The sequence below is a fragment of the Homo sapiens genome, chromosome 14 (assembly GCF_000001405.40).
Source record: "Homo sapiens chromosome 14, GRCh38.p14 Primary Assembly".
NCBI classification, from domain to species: domain Eukaryota; kingdom Metazoa; phylum Chordata; class Mammalia; order Primates; family Hominidae; genus Homo; species Homo sapiens.
This window is the reverse complement of record NC_000014.9, coordinates 104,260,561-104,282,235: the sequence shown is the minus strand read 5'-3', so window position 1 is coordinate 104,282,235 and position 21,675 is coordinate 104,260,561. Positions and strand designations below refer to the sequence as shown.

Here is a 21,675-nt window from a genome sequence, read left to right as displayed (position 1 = left end):
TGGCGTTCAGTGGCCTCGCTGCGTGCAGGCAGGCAGCTGGTCTCAGTGTTTCTCATTCCCCAGACACAGAATGGGCACGTTGCAGAGCAGGCTCCAGGGCGTCTCTTGGAGGCAAGTGCCCCACCCAGGCCTGGCTCCATGGATGACAGGGACAAGAGAGGATGTCTAAAGTCCTCAGGAAGCCTGGGCCCTGCCAGTGTAGGTCAGCAGACAGCATGGAGGCCGTGAGCATGGGCCCCCCAGCACAGGCTGCCATCCCTCAGCCCCCATGACCAGAGCAGGGGCAGCCAAACCAGCCTCAAGGACCGCTGGCATTGAGGCAGAGGCAGAGGGCAAGGGCCCCCGCTGGCCTTAGTGGCCACAGGGCTCTGTGAGGGCTGGCGCTGTGAGACGCCTCCCTCCATGCTCTGCCCTTTGGATTCTTGGGCAATGAAAGCTCACACTCCTCCCGCCCAAAAGCCACCAGCAGGCTCCACACGCTTCCCCCAGGGGCAGGGGCAGGATGTCCAAGCCATGTGCACACCAGCAGAGGGGAGAGGGAGGCTTCCTGCATCCCCCCAAGCACTGCTGTCCCTTCAGGGCCTCCAGGGAGGGCTTGGGGGCTCAGGGATGATCTCCTCACTCAGACAGATGCTGGGGTGGGGGCTCAACAGATGGGAGGGAGCGGAGCATTGCAGGTAGACCCACCCCACTCAACTGTTTGTGTCCTTCAAGACATGGGGGCACACAACAGCAGCAGGGACCTGGGGGCAAACCCACTGGGTGGGCTCAGTCTGGGGCCAGAGGGTGGCTCTGCTGGGTGGGGGTGGAGGCTTCAGACCCCCTTACATGGCTCTCGGGGTCCGTGGCTGAGCGTGAACGTCTCAAAGGTCAGGCTGTGAGCAGGGGGAGGGCGGCAGGGGCTTACTCACCTCTGCTCCAGGAGTCGACTGCAACGCCTCTGAAGCCCCCAACCAGAGGCCCTGGCGCCCTGACCTCCGACTTTCCCGTGGGCCTGATCGTGCCTGAGACGTCCAGCCCCGCCATCCCATGCTGGCTCTGCCTGCTGGGTTCCCTTCCTGCCTAGGCCGGCAGAGAAGTGACCTGACACCGCGGTCAGTGTCCCCAGACCTGAACTCTGCCTACCACAGCCTCTCTTCCCGCGCGTCTCCACGGCCTGGGATCCAGGACAGGCAGGACCTTCAGCTCTGCCCTGCGGGGCAGGTTGGCCTAGGAATTTTAGCACAGCCTCAGGTCACCTCAGGCCCCTGAAGCTTTCTGGAGCCAAGACTAGCCCAGGACCAGCCTCCACACCATCCCTGGTGCTGAGTGGAGGTGGCCCAGACCCTCGGGAGCTGCCTGTGTGCTGGACTGGGGCAGCCCTGCATGCTGGGCCCAGGGCCTGGACGTGCATCATCCACAGATCACAGCACTGGGTACAGGGCTTCCTGCAGGGCACCCTCCCCATGGCCCGGGGCCCGCCACTGGGCAGTGGCACCCAGGTTGTGCCCCGCAGGGCACTGAGTTGCTGCCAGTGATGCAGGCACGAGGCAGCTGGGCTTCTTCCCCAACGCCCACCCTCCACCCAATCACTCCACAAGCCCCGTAGGCCCCATCCCCAAAAGTCAGCAGCCACACTGACCCGCCTTCTCTATCTTACAGGCAGGTGTGTGTGGCGGGCGGCTGCAGTCAGGAGACTGATTCAGATCATACATGCACACTTGCACGCACACACTCGTACACACACGTGCACACTTGTCCACTGCGACCACCTCGTCTGGCCCCAGCCCACTGCTCCGCTCCCTGCTTCCTCCCTGGCCAGTGCCATTCCCTTCAATCTGATCAGACCACAGCGGTCCCTGCTCAAAACCCACCCATGGCTTCCCATCATTTGCCAGGTCCCAGCGGCCCCCCGCAGTTCCGGGAACACAGCAAACGCCCCCACCAGCCTCTGCTTGGAGCCCTCTTCTCCCACCCTGGGAATGGCTCCTCCTTGCCTCCCGGCCTGCAGCCCCTCTTCCGACTCAGGCCCCCGCTCCCCCGCGGAACCTGTGGTTCTAGATCACGCGCCAAACAGCTTTCTGCAAAGATCCCGTTTCCTCGTGAATGACCCGATTTCACACTTGAAGGTGAGCAGGAGCCTTCGCCACCCCTTTGTGGATGTCCTGGAACCTGGACGGACACCAGGCCCCTCACAGGTCATCAGTGGGTATCTGCGGCGTGAGGAGCCCAGGCCTGCTGCCTGCCCGACCACTGACCTGGCTAAACCTCCCTCATGAATGGGGTTGCGATGAACCCCCCAAGCAGCCTGGGAGGTCACTGTTCTTACTATCTTGAGAGCTGAGGTTCAGAGAGGTAGGTAACCTGTCCAAGTTCACACAGCAGAGGGCACAGGGCCAGGTCTGCCTCCAGATTCTGACCACTGCACTCCCGTCTATGCTGACATTTAATCCTCAGCGCGGACTGAAAGGTGTGGCAATTTGTCCCATGTCACAGATGAAACGGGGGCTCAGGGCCCTTCTGCGCTGGCCCAGGTTGCACGCCTCATGTGCACTTATGTCAAGCAGGGATCAGAGGCTGCCTAGCTGGGCCCGTGCTGTCTGCTGCGCCAGGGCCACACACACACACACACACACACACACACACACACACACACACACTCTTGGGTCTGGAGGGAGGGGCTGCTGGGGTTTGGAATTTTTCCTGAAGGCAGGCTGCCATCCACACCCCTCCCCACACTGACTTTTAAGACATATCAGCTAATTAACTAATTGCTGGCTCTCAGTGTTGCCAAATCCCCCTCCCGAGGCATCTGGCCCCAGCCTGGGTGCTCCCATATGCCGGCCAGCCCTGCCAGAGAGAGCTGGCGCCCACTCCCTGCCTGGCGCGGCTGCGGGCCCCTGGCTCAGCACCCAGACTGCCAGTTTCTAGTTGGTTTCTGGTTGGTTCCTGAGCACTGGGTGTCCTGCCTGGCCACAGACCCCAGCAGGCTGCCTGGGGCCAGATAAGGGCAGCCTCTTCCCCCTGCCTGGGGCCTGCCTGCTGGGTCTCTATCGCCTGCCCCCACCCCAGAGGGGTGACCATCCCCTCCCCAAGCCAGCATCTCCTGGTCTCCCAGAAGGGAATAGCCACTTCTGATCTCTCTCCCCAATAAGTCGAACATCCTCATTCTCTTAATTATTGGAGAACAGATTTTTCCCCCAAATAATTAGGCAATTTAAATCATACAATCTTTCTCTGGGAACTATATTTAACCCTGATTTGAATGTAATTTACACATCGCAGCTCCCTTAAGCAGCTCTGGAAGCCAAAACATGGATCAAATATTTTTTAAATGTCAAATGCTGCTTAATTGTGGATCGCACTGAATTTATTTGTACAGATAAGCGTTTGATCTTCTACCTCCTTCTCTGCCCAAAGTAATTTTTCCGTAATCTATATGATACCCCAATTTCTCTAATAGCTGGAGGATTGAAATGATACATGAGAGGCCCTCAAATTTGCAGAGTATTTTAAAAGATGCATATTCAAGATTGGAGCAGGAAACTTCTAACCGGAGACTTGAGGGGAATTCATTAAGGCAAAAAGAATCCTGGTGCCTGGAGTGGCCAGTGCAGGGACTCCTGGGGAGGGGGCTGCCACATTACCCAAGCCACCAGGGCTGTGCTGCTCCCTGCCCAGGACAGACCCCGGGCAGGCATCCCCTGGGCAAGGGTCTCCTCTGGTTGCTGCTCCACCCTCGTTTCTCCCCTTGCTTAAAATATTTCGATAGAAAAGGAGGCAGATAAGATAATGTGCAGGGTAGCAGAGTCAGGGTATAGACGGTGCCTGCAAGGCCAGGACTGGCCCAAGGGGAGGCAGGAGGCCCCTGTGCTTGTCAGCCTGAAGTCAGTGAGGGTCTCCAGGAGAAGGTAGTGGCATGGTCTGTGTTAGTCAGCTATGCTGGATTCTGCTGCCATGACAAACATCCCCAGAAGCTCAGCGATTCAGGATTGGAATCACTGAGCAATGCCTCTGATCTCTCTTTCAACACAAGGTTTTTTTCTGGCTGGTGTTCCGTGTAGGCGGCAGGTGGCTATGGGTCTGCCCCATGCATCTTCTCTCTCCTGGGATCCAGGCCCTCCCGCAGCCGAGGGAGAAAGAATGTGGCAGGACCACGTGGTGCTCTTCAGGTTGGTGCTGGACACAGCCCGGCCCACTGCTGCTAACATCTGCTCACTCTGGGCGAGTCGCGTGGTTAAGACTGCTGTGAGTAAGGCGGGAAAGTCCCAGAAGAGGAGTCCACGTTGGTGACCATAACCCAGCAGCCCACACACCTCACCATTCATGTTCACTCCCCTCACGTCTGCACACAGAACATGTGGGAAACAGCCTCAGCCTCCCATCTGAACACATCTCCTCCCGATCCAGGAGCTAAAAGGGAACGTTAGCTTCCACTCACAACACAAAATACCACGGCGGGACAGACCCCGGATGGACGGAAGAAGCACCCCTTTTGGAGAGGGAAAGGGCGGCACTGTGTTCGCTCGTGGATGGCAGCCCTGTGCTCCTGCTGGGCAGAGATTTTTGAGAGCCCCATACCTGGGCGTGGGGAATGTTTCCAAACCAGGCTCTCATGGTGACCATCCGGCCCGGTTCACCAGGACGAGTGGGTTTCCTGAGAGGTGGGACTTTCAGTGTTGAAGCCAGCGACGTCCCAGGCAAACCCCAGGGGGCTGATCAACATACCTGACTCCAGTCCGTGGTGTGAGCCCCTAATCCATTACTGGCCCATCACCGAGCTCGCCTCTGGGAGGTTCTTCCTTTTCCATCACCCTCTGGGCTACATCTGAAGAGGATATTGGAAATTATGTCCTCAGGGAGCCCGCACCACTCCTGCTTTCTGTCCACAGAACGCTGGAGGCTCAGACGTGATTTTTAAATCTTGCACCTTCGCAGTCACTGCAAGGCAAAGCTGGGTGTGCAGATCCCTCAGCACGTGGCTGGCTTCACATCTGTTTTGGGCAGTTCACGGCAGGTGAGGAGATACGTCTCACTGTCTTGACTTTACGGCAGCTACTTTTAACTTCTGGGGCTTCCTTGGGAGAGCAATGCCCCCAATTTCTCTTCTTACAAAATTTCACCTGACTCAAAAGATTTGCTGGGGTCGGGTACAGTGACCCATGCCTGTAATCCCAGCACTTTGGGAGGCAAAGGCAGGCAGATCTCTTAAGCCCAGGAGTTCGAGGCCAGTGTGGGCAACATGCCAAGACAGCATCGCTACAAAACTTTAAAAATTAGCTGGGCTAATTTTAAAATTACGCCTGTAGTCTCAGCTACTGGGGAGACTGAGGTGGGAGGATAGCTTGAGCCCAGAAGCTTGAAGCTGCAGTGAGCTGTGTTCGTGCCACTGCACTCCAGCCTGAGCAACAGAGTGAGAACTGGTCAAAGAAAGAAAGAAAGAAAGAAGGAAGGAAGGAAGGAAGGGAGGAAGGAAGGAAGGAAGGAAGGAGAAGGGAAGGGGAGGGGAGGGGAGGGGAGGGGAGGGGAAGGGAAGGAAGGAAAAGAAAGGAAAGGAAAAGAAAGGAAGAAAGAAAAGAAAGAAAGAGAAAGAAATGTGCTGGGCTGCCACCTTAATCTATTCAGAGATCATAACCCCCGGGGGTTACACTCTCCACCTGGCTTTTGCCACCAGCCTGAGCCTAACTGGCTTTTGTGGAGCAAGCATGTCTCCCATTTATCCTTTACTGGTTGGAGCTAAGAAGCAGTTGCCTCTTTCAAGGCTGTTTGCAAACCAGACAATTTCCATCTGAGCACATCTTTCTTGTATTATCTCATCCGTATCTCCAATAGCAACCAAGACACACCAGTCACATTTGGTTTCCAAACCTCTTTGCTTGAATCCACAATCTCCTGTTTTCTGTTTGGTGGTGATGGTTGTTGTTGTTTTGAGACGGAGTCTCACTCTGTCGCCCAGGCTGGAGTGCCGTGGTGCAAGCTTGGCTCACTGCAACCTCCGCCTCCCAGGTTCACGCGATTCTCCTGCCTCAGCCTCCCAAGTAGCTGGGATTACAGGCGTCCGTCATCATGCCTGGCTAATTTTTGTATTTTTAGTAGAGACGAGGTTTCACAATGTTGTCCAGGCTGGTCTCGAACTCCTGGCCTCAGGTGATCCACCCGCCTCAGCCTCCTCAAGTGCTGGGATTATAGGTGTGAGTCACCGTGCCCAGCCCAAAGCCTCCTATGTTTTCCGCCCCCGAGAAAACATAGATGACAGTTTTGCCAAATGTTTCACCACATAAAAATGCTGCTCCCAGCCTCTAATTATAGTTTCTCCCCCTCCCCTGCCCCACCCCAGCCAATGCCACAAATTTTAGGTTTTGTGTGTGACAGCAACGAATTCTAGGTGCCAGTTTCTCCTCGAGTCAGCTGATGCCAGGCCGGGCTGTGGCCCCAGCAATCTCGGCGTCTCAGCAGTTTACAACACACGTGTGTTTCCACTCGGGCTCCGCGTTTCCTGTAGGTCAGCCGGGCGCTTGCCACAGTTGAGCATCCAGGCTGGAGGAGCCGCTCCCTCCAGGACCGTTTCACTCTCTTGAAGAGGCGCTTCTGCTTCTGCTTACGTTCCATTGGCCAAGGTAAGTCAGGAGGCAAAGCCTGACGACATTGAAGAAGGAAAAATAAGTCTCTCTGAGACAGGGTGGGCGTGTGGGGCTGGCGAGCCGGGGAGAAGAGGCTCCTCCAACGGCTGATCACATGTAGCTCGCCGTTCTGCGGTCTCGCAAACAGTCACTGGCCCACAGCCAAGGAAAGGACTTGCTGGCAACCGAGAGGCCACAGGAGCTTAGGACTGCACGCGGCCACTTCTTCAGCTTTACTGCAGCAGCTCCAGACACGTCCTTCCAAACAACACCGGAGGCAAAAACTCAAGGAGCTGCAAGGAGAACAGACAAACCCACCTCTATAGCTGGAGACATCAACACTCCTCTTTCAGTCATTGGTAGATCAAGCAATCAGAAGTCAGCAAGGACAGAGGTGACATGAAGAATGCTATCAATCAACTTCATCAACTGATGTTTCTAGAACATTCCACCCAGCAACCACAGAATACGTGCAGGTTCACGTTCTTTTAAGCTCTCGTGGAGCATTCGCCAAGGACAGACCGCGTTCTGGGCCGCAGGACCCGCAATAACAAATTTAAAAGAAGAGAAGTCGTGCTCTTAAGACACAATGGCATAAACTAGAAATCAGGAACAGAAAAGACAGCTGGAAAATCCCCAAATATCTGGAGATTAAGCAACATACTTCTAAATAACACATGGGTCAAAGGAGAAGTCTCAAGAGAAATTTTAAATATTTAGGAATACATGAAAAGACAATTTATCAAAATGTGCAGGCTGCAGCAAAAGCAGTACTCAGGGGAAATTTATAGCATGAATGTACATGTTAGAAAAGAAGACAAGTCTAAAATACATCATCTACGCTTCCATTGTAGGAAACTAGAAATAGAACCATTTAAGACTATAGCAAGCAAAAGAAAAGGAATAATAAAAAGTAAAGCAGAATTCAATGAAACTCAAAACATGAAAGTGATAGAAAAAAATCAAAAGCTTATTTTTTAACAAGATCAATGAAATGGACTAACTAAGGAAAAAAAAAACAAAGAAAACATAGATTGCCAATATCAGAAATGAAAGAGAGGTTGTCACTGCTGATTCCGTAGACATTAAAAGTCTAATAAAGTAATACCATGAACAGCTCTATCTCTACAAATTTGAAATTTAAGATGAAATGGGCCAATTCTTTAAAAGACATAAACTACCCAAGGAGAAATTAAAAAGCTAAATAGTCCAGACATCCCACTGCTGGGTATATACCCAAAAGAAAGGGAATCAGTATATGGAAGAGATACCTACACTCCTATGATGGTCAGCACTTTTTACAAGAGTTAAGATTTGGAAGCAACCTAAGTGTCCATCAACAGATGAATGGTTAAAGAAAATGCAGTATGTATCCACAACGGAGTACTCTACAGCCATAAAAAAAGAATGAGATCCAGTCATTTGCAATAACACAGATGGAACTGGAGGTTATTATGTTAAGTGAAATAAGTCAGGTCCAGAAATATCAACATCTCATGTTCTCACTTATCTGTGAGAGCTAAAAAATCAAAACAATTTAACTCAAGGACATAGAGCATAGAAGAATGGTTACCAGAGACAGAGAAGGATACTCAGGGGCTGGGAGGGAGGTGGGAGTGGTTAATCAGTACAAAAAAAAAAGTAGAAACAATGAATAAAGCCTAGTATTTGATAACACAATAGGGTGACTATAGTTAATAATAACTTAATTTTACATTTTAAAATAAAGAATGTAATAGGATTGTTTGTAATTCAAAGGATAAATCCTTGAGGAGATGGATACCCCATTCTCCATGATGTGCTTATTTCACATCGTATGCCTATATCAAAACATCTTCATCTCATGTACCTCATAAGTATATACAACTACTATGTACCCACAAATACTTTTTAAAATAATTTAAAAATTTTAAAAAGCCTTAATAGGTCTATATCTGTTAAGGAAATTTAAATAATACTTCATTATCTTCAAAAAAGAAAGCACTAGGCCCAGATGGTTTCACTGGTGAACTCTACCAACTATGTAAGGAATAAATACCAATTCTCTACAGTCTGTCTTTATATGCAATAACACAGATGGAACTGGAGATCATTATGTTAAGTGATTTAATTTTTCTTCTGAAAAATAGAAGCAGAGGAAATGCTTCCTAACTCATTGTAAGAGGTCAGCATTACCCTAATACCAAAACAGATAAAGAAATTACAAGAAAAGAAACTTGAGACTACAAACCAATAACTCTCATGAATGTAGATATGAAAATAATCAACAAAATATTATCAAATCAAATCTAACAATGTATAACCACAATTACACAGCATGACCACGAGGGACTTATTTGAGGTATGATTTTCACATTGGAAAATCAATCTAAGATGTGTGTATTAATCTGCTCTCACGCTGCTAATAAAGACATACCCACGACTGGGTAATTTATAAAGGAAAGAGGCTTAATTGACTCTCAGTTCCACATGGCTGGGGAGCCCTCACAGTCTTGGCAGCATGCAAGAGAGAATGAGGAAAAAAAGCAAAAGGGGTTTCCCCTTATAAAACCATCAGATTTCGTGAGACGTATTCACTACCTTGAGAAGAGTATGGGGGAAACTGCCACGATGATTCAATTATCTCCCACCGGGTCTCTCCCACAACACATGGGAATTATGGGAGCTACAATTCAAGATGAGATTTGGGTGGGGACACAGCCAAACCATAGCAACATGTAAATGATTAAATGGATGAATGGATGAATCTATCTCCTGAAAGAAATAAGCAAACACAGCAAGGTTGCAAGATACATGGTTGATATATGAAAGTCAGATCCTTTCCTATATGCCAGCAATAAACAATCAGGATTTGAAATTTAAAGAACAATACTAGTTATAGCAGAACCCCCAAAAGTGGAATACCTAGGCACAAATCTAACAAAACATGTACAGGCTCTGTATGCTGAAAACTGCAAACCTCTGACGAAAGATATCCAAAAAATCTAAATGAATGAAGAGATAGTCCATGTTCACATAGGAAGACTCAATATTGTTAAGGTGTCTACTTTTCCAAATGTGGGCTATAGAATCAATAGATCTAATCAACCCTAATCAATATCCCAGCAAACTCTCCTGTAGATATCAACACACTGATTCTAGAGTTTATACACAAAGCCAAAAGACATAGAATGGCCAACACAACGGTGAAGGACAAAGCTAGGGGACTCACGCTTCGCAATTTCAAAACTTCCTATAAGATGATGGCATCAAGACAGGAAATATTGATGAATGAATGGATAAACAGATCAGTGGAATAGAACAGAGATCCACTAGTAGACCCACACAAATGCCAATGATCTTTGACAAAGGAGAAAATGTGTCTCTAACAGAGAAAGTCTCGTCAACAAATGGTGCTGTAATATTTAGACATCCATATGCAGAATAAGTAAATAAATCTAGACACACACTGAGGGCGCTTTTCACAAAAGTCACCTCAACAGGGATCAGAGGCCTAAATGTAAACCATAAAACTAGAAGAAAGCAGGGGACCTACGTGACCTTGAGTCTGACGATGAGTTTTTGATTGCAACACCCAAAGCCCAACCTATGAAAGAAAAAATTGTTAAGATGTGTTTTTCATTAAAAACTTCTGCCCGGCAAAAGAAACCATTAAAAGAATGAAAACACAAGTCACAGGCTGGGAGAAAACCTTTGTAAAATGTAAGTCAGATTAAAGGACCTGTATCCAAATCACACAAAGAACTTCCTAAAACTTAACAACTAGAAAACGAACAGCGCAATTTTAAAATGGGGGAAAGGTCCGAACAAACACCTCACTCAAAAAAGACAAATGTCAAATAAGCATATAAAAGGATGCTTGATATCATTTTTCATGAGGGAAATGCAAATTAAAACAACGAGACACCACTATCCCTATTAGAATGGCTAAATTCCAAAAAGTGACAATACCAATTGCTATGAGAATACACAGCAACAGAAACTCCCATTCACTGCTGGTGGGAAGACAAAATGGCACAGCCACTTTGGAAAACAGTCTGGCAGTTTCTTACAAAGCTAAACATAGTCTCACCATATGATCTAGCAGTTGCATTCCTAAGTATTTACCCAACTGGCCTGAAAAACTTAGGTCCACACAAAAGCCTGTATGCAAATGTTTATAGCAGCTTTATTCATAATTACCAAAACCTAGAAGTAACCAAGATGTCCTGGGTGAATGGATACACAAATTCTGGCAGATCCATCCATACAATGGGATATTATACACTGATAAAAAGCAGTGAGATATCGAGCCACCAAAAGACAGGCATGAACCTTAGACGAATATTGCTAAGTGAGAGAAGCCAATCAGAAAAGACTACAGTGCTGTATGGTTCCAACTGTATGACTTTCTGGAAAAGGCAAAACTGTGGAGACAGTAAGATCAGTGTTGGCCAGGGGTTCCAGGTGAGAGGAGATGGTTGGATAGGTGGAGCACAGGGTTTTGTTTGTTTGTTTTGTTTTGTTTTGTTTTTGAGACGGAGTCTCGCTCTGTCGCCCAGGCTGGAGTGCAGTGGCGCGATCTCAGCTCACTGCAAGCTCCACCTCCCGGGTTCACGCCATTCTCCTGCCTCGGCCTCCCGAGCAGCTGGGACAACAGGCACCGGCCACCTCGCCCGGCTAATTTTTTTGTATTTTTAGTAGAGACGGGGTTTCACCGTGTTAGCCAGGGTGGTCTCGATCTCCTGACCTCGTGATCCGCCCACCTTGGCCTCCCAAAGTGCTGGGATTACAGGCTTGAGCCACCGCGCCCGGCCGCACAGGGGGTTTTTAGGGCTGTGAAACTAACGTGAACGACATTGTAATGGCAGAGACACGACACTGTGCATCTGTCAAAACCCACAGAACTTCACAGCAAGAGTGAGCCTTAATGTATGCAAATTTTAAAGCTCAGTCAAGAGGCTGGGGGTCTAGGACGGAAGGCGGGCCATGTGTGGCGAGAGCCTCTGGCTGTATCACAGACCCAGGGAGCAGCTGTATTACAGACGTAGGGAGGGGCTGGGGGATGGGGCTGACCTGGGTACCCTCACAAACGACAAAGTCTGTGAAGCCAAAAGCAAATGGACCCGCACGTGAGCCCTGTACCCTGGCAGACACACGCTTCTGCCGCGGGGTACAGGTGAGCAGTCCCTACACCGCTCCCCCTGCACACTGCAGCTTAGCGATTAGGTCCATGGATGGTGGGTGGTGGGGCAGGTTCCTCACTGTGGGGTGGGAGCTACAGACAAGCAGGGGCAGGGGCCAGAACGACCCACACGGCCCAGGGTCAGGGTCGAGACAGCAGCACCAGCTCCTTCCTGTGGGCTCCCTCTCCACGCGGGCGGTGTGACGGTTAACTTTATGTGTCAGCTCCCCTGGCCGTGGGGTGCCGGGTTGAACGTTATTTCTGGGGATGTCCGAGGGTGTTCTGGATGAGATTAGCATTTGAATCAGTGGGCTCTGTAAAGCAGGCCGCCCTCCCCAGGGTGGGTGGCGTCACCCAATCCGCTGAGGACCCGAATAGCGCGGAAGGCAGAGAAAGGTGAATTTGCCCCCCTCTTCCTGCCACGCTGCTTGAGCTGGGACACTCACCTTCTCTGGCCCTGACACTGAGATTAACGCCATTAGCCCTCCGGCTTTCAGGGCTTCGGACTCAGACCGCACTGCACCACCAGCTTCCCTGGGTCTCCGCGGGCGTGGGACCTCTCGGCCTGCGTGGTCACCTGCGCCCAGGCTTCCAGGCAATCTCCAACAGGAGTGGGTGTGAACGTCCCACTGCATCCGTTTCTCTGATGACCCCTACTCACACGGAGGGTCACACACAGAAGCACGTTAGACATGGGCTCATGCCCAGGTTAGTACACGCACAGACACTTCCCTGCTCCGCTGGCCGAGAGGGCCTGGAAGCAACCACACCCAAGCAGCAAGCAGGCCCGGTGCCCAGGTCTTGGTGTCTAATGGGACCTTCCAACAAAAGGCACCGGGCTCCTTGGAGGAACAGCTGATGTGGGGCTGAGGCAGGAAACATACAGGATGAGCCTGGAGCTTCTTCTCATCCCAGAAAATAAGGACGCGTTAAAACCAAAGGGACGGGTCACAGGCCGACTGAAGAGCTGCCACCGCCAAAGACAGGACAGCTTGAGCAACAAAATGGAGGAGGACTGGGACACCCGAAATCTGACAAGAGTGTCCGTGAGTCGTTGCTGATGGAACCCAAAAACTGAGCAAATGAGCAAACACGGGAGAAGGGACGAGTCTCCAAGCAGAAGGATTCGGAAGGATTCATGCAGATCCTCTGCCCCCAAGGAGGCGACCGTGACTCCCCACCCCGCGGTGTGGGCTGTGCACCGTGACCTTCCTCCAAAGAGTGCTGGAGGTCGTGGCGGGCTGCTGGGTGGGCGGTAACTTCACCTAGGAGAAAGCTGACAGCACGACCTCAGCCAGGGACCAAGGTCAGCGCCAACGGGGACAGCCGTGTTGAGAGCAGGCACCCTGGGAAGGGTGTGGCGTCAGTGGCCCTCTGCCCTGCCCCTGTGGTCTTCCTTCAAAAACCTGTAACTCCAGTCTAACCATGAGAAGAACAGCAGACAAATTCCAATAAAGGTTCACAAAATACCTGACCCGTTCTCCCCAAAACTGTCAAGGTCATCAAAACAAAGTCTGAGAAACTGTGGCAGCTGAGGGGGCCCTGAGGAGGAGCCGCAACCACCAAAAGGCATGGTGTGTCCCAGACGCGGCCCTGAGGCAGGGGAAGGCCTCGAGGTCATAGGTGGGAATTGAACAATGAGATCACATGGACACAGGAAGGGGAATATCACACTCTGGGGACTGTGGTGGGGTCGGGGGAGGGGGGAGGGATAGCATTGGGAGATATACCTAATGCTAGATGACACGTTAGTGGGTGCAGCGCACCAGCATGGCACATGTATACATATGTAACTAACCTGCACAATGTGCACATGTACCCTAAAACTTAGAGTATAAAAAAAAAAAAAATTAAAATTAAAAAAAAATAAAAATAAATAAAAAACTCAGGAAATCTGCGTTATGTGTGAGCTTTAGCTGGTACCAGCGTATCCCTGTTGATTCATTAATGTATCAAACGCATCAGACTCTGGGAGGTGTTCACGATGGGGCTTGGCGTAGGTGGCGCTTTTCTGTACAATCTGCACAATTTCTCTGTGAATCTAAAACTGCTCTAAAAAATAAAGCCTACTTTAAAAAAAAAAAGGTATGCATTTTATTACATGGAAATGATACCTCGATAAAGTTGGCTGTAAATGGTTTTTTTAATGTGGTAGCCTGTTCTTTGGAGCTTTCATCTCCTGAAATAGAAAGATAATAAAGAAAAAACGTGCATCTGCAATCAGGAGTCGTGACTATCACTACGAAGGAAGGAGCCGGGATGCGGATGCGGAAGCGGAAGCGGAAGCGGAGGTTTGTGAAGCTGCAGAGGGGGGCAGTGCAGGAATCTGGGAGCGGCCGCTCTGAAGCCTGTGCTCTCTGCTAGCTAAGGCCTCAGTGTTTGCGCCCATGGGGACAGGGTCCCCATGTAATTACAAAAGGGGCTCAGCCCAGAGCTGGGACGGCAGCATCCCGGAGTCAGGCAGAACCTGCGTGGGGAGCATCATAAAAGCATTTATTTTCTTGGAGGAAGCATTGAGATTAAGCTTCCCAGCACCCGGCCGCGGTCACAGACCATGAGCTGGGCAATTACCATTCCCATTTTTACCAGGTTTCTAGGAAAACAGGCCTCGTGGCCAAGCGGGGACTGAGGCCATGTTAGGAGAGGAGCGTGCAGCCCCCAGCCCAGCCTCTCCCAGCCTCCAAAACACACTGTACGTTGAGCATAATGGGTTTTAGGGAATTTATTTTGCCAATTTTAGAACCCACCATAAAGAAGAAATATGAGAGAATTTTATGAGGTGTACTGTATATCTTTAATACTCGTATTTTTTCTCGAAATGCTGAGAATATCAATTACATTTATGGCTTTACGAGGAGATGCTGCAACCCCTAGGATGGCAAAGTGCATCTTAGCAGAAAATAAACAGTGGTGGGCACCACCCCCAGTGCCCGGGGGCTGTGAGACCGGATGGTGATTGAGGAATGGGCTCCAGATGAACCCATGGCTACCGTCTCGGGGAAGTGGGCTTGTGGGCATGTGGGCATGTGTGGGCGTGGGAGTGTGTGTGCACGTGTGTGTGGGCATGGGCATGTGTGTGCATGCGTGTGTGTGTGAGTGCACGTGTGTGTGGGCGTGTTTGTGCATGTGTATGCGTGTGGGGGGTGTGTGCATGTGTGGGCGTGTGTGGGCATGTGCGTGTGTGTGCACGTGTGAAGTGTGTGTGCACCTCCACTATGGCTTTATCAGTTCCTCACAGAGGAGGTCTGGGGTGAGGGAAGGTGAGTTTGGGAGGGACCCTTGGAAAGGGAGAGCAGCCACCAGCCCCCAGCAGGGGACAGAGGGTGGCACTTCTCCGGGAGCCGGCTCCAGGCCAGAGCCTGACCCTCAGCCATTGAACAAGGCCCTGCAGCTGCTGAGAACTCTGACCTGGGGCTCTGGTACCGCCCCATCCTCCAGATAGGTGCACTATGACCTAAGAAGCAGTGGTCTTTCTGGGCCGTGCGCCCTGGACAGGTGAGGAGCCTGCGCACTCTGACTGCGTGCACATGCGCACACACACGTGCACACACACACACACGTGCGCACACACACGTGCACACATAGTCATACCCACACGCACACACTCAGGCACATATTTGCACACACTCTCAAACACACAGGTGCCCACTAGCCTTGGTGGGGCTTGCTCCTTGTGACTAAAATATCCCTGGGAAGAAGCTGCCCCTGGCCCCTGCCCACCTCTGGGAGGGAGGCCAGGCCCCCAGAGAGCAGGCCCTTCCCAGCAGGCCAGGGCTGCGCTCTGGGGGTGACCTGCGAGGTGCCCCCCACTGCTGCGATGCTTCACATTATCTGTGGCTCCAATGTGCACGTTTGTTTAAAATCCGCTGCAGAATTCATCCTCTCTGCCACTTACTCAGCCATTATCAGCCATCACAAAAGTGCCGAAGAGAGTCATAAACAGCTGTGATTTATGAGACAGCCGGAATACGGGGACAAATGAGAGAAAATTAAATCCTTCACCTGTGCGGTCATTTACGAACTCGGCTCCCTCGCAGGGCCATGACGGTAGGTGTTGGCCTGAGGTGCGTGTTAAGTTCTGTCTCGTGCTCCCCTAGGGTGGAAGGGAAGGCGGGAGGAGTGGAGTGGAGAGGCTCTGGACCCTAGGGTGGGAGGGAAGGCAGGAGGAGTGCAGAGTCTACGGACCTCAGGGTGGGAGAGGGGGCAGGTCTCCCAGAACAGGCCCTGCAAGTGCCCTCACTTCCCACCTCCCCAGCCACACCCAGAAGCCAGATGTCCTGTACCCGAGTGAGCGCCCCAGACCCCAGAAGCACTGCCTCTGCCTCCTGGTCCCTGCCCTCACCCGCACTCCCTACTCTGTAGGCCCAAATTTGGCCGTCAGATCCCAGAGGGCCTGAGCCCAGGAAAGTGGCTCCTTCATCTTAGGAGAAACCAGGAGCTTCCTTGGAACAGAAGCCAGCAGGCGGCAGCCCGTGTGTTCCCTCCCATGTGGTTTCCACTTCTTTAAAACACACACACACGCACCAGGAAATGCAATTGCCTATAGAGCTTTCTATGAGCTTATAAATGAGCAGGGCAGGTTCTGAGAAAAAAAAAATTGATTTTTTTTTTTTTTGAGACGGAGTCTCGCTCTTTCACCAGGCTGGAGTGCAGTGGCGCGCTCTCGGCTCACTGCAAGCTCCACCTCCCACCTTCAAGCAATTTTCCTGCCTCAGCCTCCCGAGTGATTGGGACTACAGGCGCCCGCCACCACGCCCGACTAATTTTTGTATTTTTAGTAGAGACGGGGTTTCACCATGTTGGCCAGGATGGTCTTGAACTCCTGGCTTCCAGTGATCCACCCACCTCAGCCTCCCAGAGTACTGGGATTACAGGCTTGACCCACCATGCCAGGCTGAATTTGATTTTTATTTTTTTAATATTTTTATTTTTTATTTTTTTAGACGGAGTCTTGCTCTGTCACCCAGGCTGGAGTGCAGTGGCGTGATCTCAGCTCGCTGCAACCTCCGCCTCCCGGGTTCAAACGATTCTCCTGTCTCAGCCTCCTGAGTAGCTGGGACTACAGGCGCCTGCCACCACACCCGGCTAATTTTTGTATTTTTAGTTGAGATGGGGTTTCACCATGTTGGTCAGGCTGGTCTTGAACTCCAAACCTTGTGATCCGCCTGCCTCAGCCTCCCAAAGCGCTGGGATTACAGGCCTGCGCCACCACGCCTGGCTGAATTTGATTTTTAAATTAAAGCCTGGTATGGACTGCGCCTGACCCTCAAAAAGACATTGGCTTTGTCACGGGCTCGGTGGCACCATCATCCCCAGCTGCCGCCCATAGAGGTGCTGCAGAATTATGTCTTTGGGCATGTGCCACAGAGGCCACAGGCAGCTGGGAGGGCTGGCCCAACCCCAGGCCTCGCTGGGAGCCTCCCTCCAGGAAGCACCCCCACCCCGGGGCTGCACTGCCCTGGTGGGCTCAGTTCCCTGGGCTTGTTGCCCTGGCTTGCCCAGCCTCCCCCAAGCTGGGGGCTCTGGAGCCCTTTCTCCCAAGTACCAGTTCGGCTCATGCCAACACCAGCGTCCTTACCCAAGGCTGGGGAGGCCCAGAACCCCATCCCAGGGATAGGAGCAGATGACAGGGAAGGGCAGAAAGGGGGTGACCCACAGACACCTCCAGCCACCCTTCTTGCCTGGGATACCAGACCCCTGCGTCAGCACCACTGCCTGGGCCAGCGCTCCAAAAGCCCCCTGTCCGGAGCTCATCCCCAAGCCCGGCACCCAGCACTGCCTGTGAGCAAGCTCTAGCCACTTCCTGCTCTGCAGCTCCCACGCCTTACCCGGTCCTTGCCCTTGGGGGCGGAGAAGGCAGACAGTAGGCTCTGCCTCGGGGGCTCACCCGTCCTCCCAGCAGCCCAGGCCGGCCAGACCCACAAGATGCCAATACTGGGGCGGGGGCAGCCAGGACAGAGAGGCCCTGAGAAGATCCAGAGGAAGGGACGCTTCAACCAAGACTAACATTTTAAAACGGAGATAGAGAGGCAAGGCCCGAAGGCAAGCCCCAGGGGGAGTGTTGGCATGAGGAACAGATTTGCCAAGTTTGTATGCCAACTTCGCATTTCCCTGACGGCTCAGGCCCAGTGGACCCTCTCAGAAGGTTCCTGCTAGTCCCAACTTCATTTATTCATGCCAGGGCAAGGTGAGGGCCTCACATACTAAAGTCAGGGGCAGGGACCAAGCTCTGGTGCCACCCTCACTGCCAGCCCTCGGGCGAGGCCTGTCCCCACCCTGGGCCTCAGTTTCCCCAGCTGGACAAAGAACGTATGTCTGAGGTCACTTGTAGCTCTAAGACCCTGGGGGTCGCTGGCCCAAGGCCCCCTGCTGAGGGTCACCCGCTGCAATGCTGCAGACCCCAACTCAGAGCCCCTCGAGGAGCCGCCACTCCCTTCCATCTCATTCTCGATTTCTTCCCGGCGTAATTGAAAAATCAATATGTTGCAGCATTGTGCAAATCACAAATACAATTATTTCCAGTCACAAAGGGAATGATCCTACAGCGACTGCAGCTGCTCCACCATGAGTCCCCAGCTGAGCCAGGGGCAGGGGTCGGGTAAGCCCCACCATGCTTGTGCACAGACACCAGCTCTGGGAGCTGCCACGCAGGGTGCCCCTCATGCCAGGGACACCCTAGCACGGTTTAACTCCAGTCTTCCCTTCTGTGACTTCCAACTGTACAGTGCCCGGCCTCATAAGTTATGGAGCTTAATGAACGACATGAAAAGTTAATTAATTGTAAGGATAGTTACACACGGCCACACCATACCTGTCATCAAATAGGTCTTGCGTTAGAACTGATTACATTTTGATCAACTCGGCCTCAGGAGCCACTGTGCAGACCTGGGCGGTGGACCGTCCTCTACAATGAGAGTTATTTGGCTTTTATGGGTTTGTTCAATTTTGCCCAAGGGACAGATGGGACAACGAAAGGAGAGAGTCCCCCCCCCCCACCCTGTCCTTCAGGTGGGGAACGAGCCAAGACCCGTCCTCCAGGCCCTGCAGTGGACATGGCCAGCCCCGCCTGCCCCAGCCCCGCCCAGCCACCCCGCCTGCCCCAGCCCTGTCTGGTGCAGCAGGAGGCTCTGCCACCCCTGCACTGGAACCAAGGCCCTCAGGACAGGCTTGCCTGCAGGTGGGACCCATCTGAGCCATGTTGTCCCCAACCGGAATGAGCCCAGCCCCGTCACCCCAGCTGCAGCCTGTCCCCGGCATGCAGCTGGCCCCCTCCCCAGGGGGCTGGGGTGTGCCTCCCCTGCCAGTTAATACTCCCCCTCACTGTCTACATGTGGGGGCCGTGCAGCTAAGCGGGACCTCTGTCAACCTCACCCTAGCACTTGACCCCCAGAGCTGGTCCCTGTCCCCAAAGGAGACAGTGATGGGGGTGCAGGAAGCAGGAGCTCAGAGTCCCAGCCCAGGGCAGAGGGAGGGGGAAGGCAGGGCTCAGAACCAGGGGCTCCCCAAAGCCTTAGTGAGCCCTGGGCTCTCATCTGCTTGCTCCCCAGGTCAGCTCCTCCTCTGCCCCAGGGTGGGGGGCCCTGACACCCGGGATGCCACTTCCCTTCCAAAGTACACTGGCTGGGGTGGGCGCACCTTCCCCAGAGACCCCTTTCTGCCTCCTCTCTCTGCTCCCCAAGGCAGAGCAGCAGGGGACGGGGAGAGCATCCCAGCAGGGCAGAGAGCATCACTGGCTCAACCCCTCTTGCCTGGGCTGCCCTGAGCCTGCCTTCTTTCAGCAGCATCTGAGCTCCCCACCTCAAGCCTCACACCCTCCCCTCTGGCTTTGGTCCACAGCAGTGTGGGCCGCTCACCACCATAGCCACCTGGCATCGCCACCATCCTGCTTGGGGCCAACACCTCTCCCCTCACCCCACTGGGGAGGAAGGACCTTTTCCCCACCAGGTCCCCCAGGGCCTGGGTGCAGACCTGGTCAGCCCAACCAACATCTGCCAAGGCCCTCGAGTCCCTTCCTTCTTGTTACTCCGCTGATGTTTTCCTCCCATTGCAAAGACAAAGCCCACGCCATGGTCCAGGTCATGTGTGTCTTTCCCTCGAGACCAGCACTGTCCACAGTAATAAAAACGTTCTGTATCTGCACTGTCCAGTGTGGCAGCCACTAGCTACTGTGGTTACTGAGCACTCGAAATGTTATTGTAACCACAGACCTGGGTTTTAAAAATTGTACTCTGTAGCTTTACTGAAGTATAACTAACATAGAATAAGCTACACATAATTAAAGTATACAATTGGATAGGTTTTAACACATGTATACACCAGCAAAACCATCACAAAAGTAAAGAACATTCCCATCACACCAAAAACCTTCTTCGTGCCCCTTGGAGATCCTGCCCTCCATCTTCCCTGCCCGCTTCTCCAGGCCCCAAGCAACCATTGATCTATTTTCTGTCATTATAGATTAGTTTGCATTTTCAAGAATTACATACATATTCTTTATAAAATCGTGAATTACATTTCCTTTTTATCTGTCCCCCTTACTCAGTATATTACCTGCCATTTATCCACGTCATCGTGCACATCAATAATTCATCACTTTCTATCGCCAAGTAGCAGCCATTGTGCGGACACACCACCTTTTATTTATCCACTCAACTGTTGATGGACGTTTGGGTTCTGCCTAGTTTTGGGGTGTTACAAATAAAGCTGCTGTGAATATTCACATACAACTCTGTATGGACTGTTTTCATTTCTCTTGAAGTGGGATGACTGGATTATATGGTAGGTATATGTTTAATGATTTAAGAGACTGACAAATTGCTTTATAAAGCAGTTGTACCATTTTACATACCCTGCCTCCCCCAGCAGCACAGAAGAGTTCCAGTTCCTCCGTATCATCTCCAATACTTGGTATGTCAGTCTTTTTAATGCTAGCCATTCTACTAGGTGTGTGGTGTTCTCACACTATGGGTTAGTTTCCACTTGATTGACTAACTATATTGAGCAGTTTCACATGCTTATTTGCACTCCGCATATTATTATTGGTTAAGTGGTATTTTCTTCCTTGCATTTGGTAGAATTCATCAGTAAAGCCACCTGACCGTGGAGTTTTCTTTGTAGAAAGGTTTTTAACTACAAACCCAGTTTCTTTAATAGTTACAGGGCTGTGTGGTTATCCACTTCATCCTGCACATCCTTGGTAATTTGTGTCTTTCAGGGAATTTGTCCATTTTGAGTAGTTGAATTTATTGACATAGAGTTGTTGATAATATCCCCTTATCATCCCTTAATATCAGTAGAATCAGTTCTTATGTAACCTCCTTCATTCCCGATACTGGTCATTTGTGTCTTCTCTCTCTTTTTACTGACCAGCCTACCTAAAGGTTTGTTCATCTTTTCAATCATCTCGAAGAACCAGCTTTTGGTTTCATTGATTTTCTCTACTGTCTTTCTGTTTATGATTTCATTGATTTTTCACTCTGATCTTCACTACTTCCTTTTTTCTTACTTTGGGTTTCATTTGCTCTTTTCTAGTTTCTTAAGGTCATTGATTTAAGATATTTCTTCTTTTCTAACATAGGCATTTAATGCTACAAATTTCCCCCTAAATAGTGGGATTTAACTAAATCCCACACATTTTATAGGCTGTGTTTTCCTTTTTATTTAGTTCAAAATACTTTCTAATTTCCCTTTTAATTCCTCCTTTGACCCATAAGTTACCAAGAAATATGTTACTTCATTTCCAAATTTGGGGGAATTTTCCAGAAATATTTCCATTTTTCAATTCTAATCTAATCCCATTGTGATCAGATAAAACTTTTTATGACTTGGATCCCTTTATATTTTTTGGACTTGTTTTATGGCCCAGAATATTGTCTATCTTAGTAAATGTGTTCCATGTGCACTTGAAAAGAA

The 21,675-nt window shown here is 51.1% G+C and overlaps 1 long non-coding RNA gene across 2 annotated transcripts in view, besides 3 other annotated features; it reads right to left on the bottom strand.

Annotated features, from left to right (window-relative positions):
* LINC02691 (long intergenic non-protein coding RNA 2691) overlaps positions 1-21,675 on the bottom strand; it is a 64,486-nt gene that overhangs the window by 5,834 nt on the left and 36,977 nt on the right. The window contains exon 2 of one of the 2 annotated variants that reach the window (NR_146613.1): positions 6,607-6,892. The exons of the other annotated variant lie outside the window; for it this stretch is intronic. This is a non-coding gene — a long non-coding RNA (long intergenic non-protein coding RNA 2691). Of the gene's footprint in view, positions 1-6,606; positions 6,893-21,675 lie in introns of those variants that run through there. 2 annotated transcript variants of the gene reach the window in all.
* Positions 2,670-2,885: a silencer, noted in NCBI's record as "fragment chr14:104745688-104745903 (GRCh37/hg19 assembly coordinates)". NCBI's record gives its function as "represses an EF-1alpha promoter that drives an FKBP-Casp9 reporter gene in an ReSE screen in HepG2 liver carcinoma cells {active_cell/tissue: HepG2}" and the evidence as "EXISTENCE:reporter gene assay evidence [ECO:0000049][PMID:32094911]".
* Positions 10,782-11,466: an enhancer, noted in NCBI's record as "H3K4me1 hESC enhancer chr14:104737107-104737791 (GRCh37/hg19 assembly coordinates)". NCBI's record gives its function as "activates a minimal SCP1, AML or CMV promoter by ChIP-STARR-seq in naive H9 embryonic stem cells {active_cell/tissue: H9 hESC(naive)}" and the evidence as "EXISTENCE:reporter gene assay evidence [ECO:0000049][PMID:30033119]".
* Positions 11,467-12,152: an enhancer, noted in NCBI's record as "H3K4me1 hESC enhancer chr14:104736421-104737106 (GRCh37/hg19 assembly coordinates)". NCBI's record gives its function as "activates a minimal SCP1, AML or CMV promoter by ChIP-STARR-seq in naive H9 embryonic stem cells {active_cell/tissue: H9 hESC(naive)}" and the evidence as "EXISTENCE:reporter gene assay evidence [ECO:0000049][PMID:30033119]".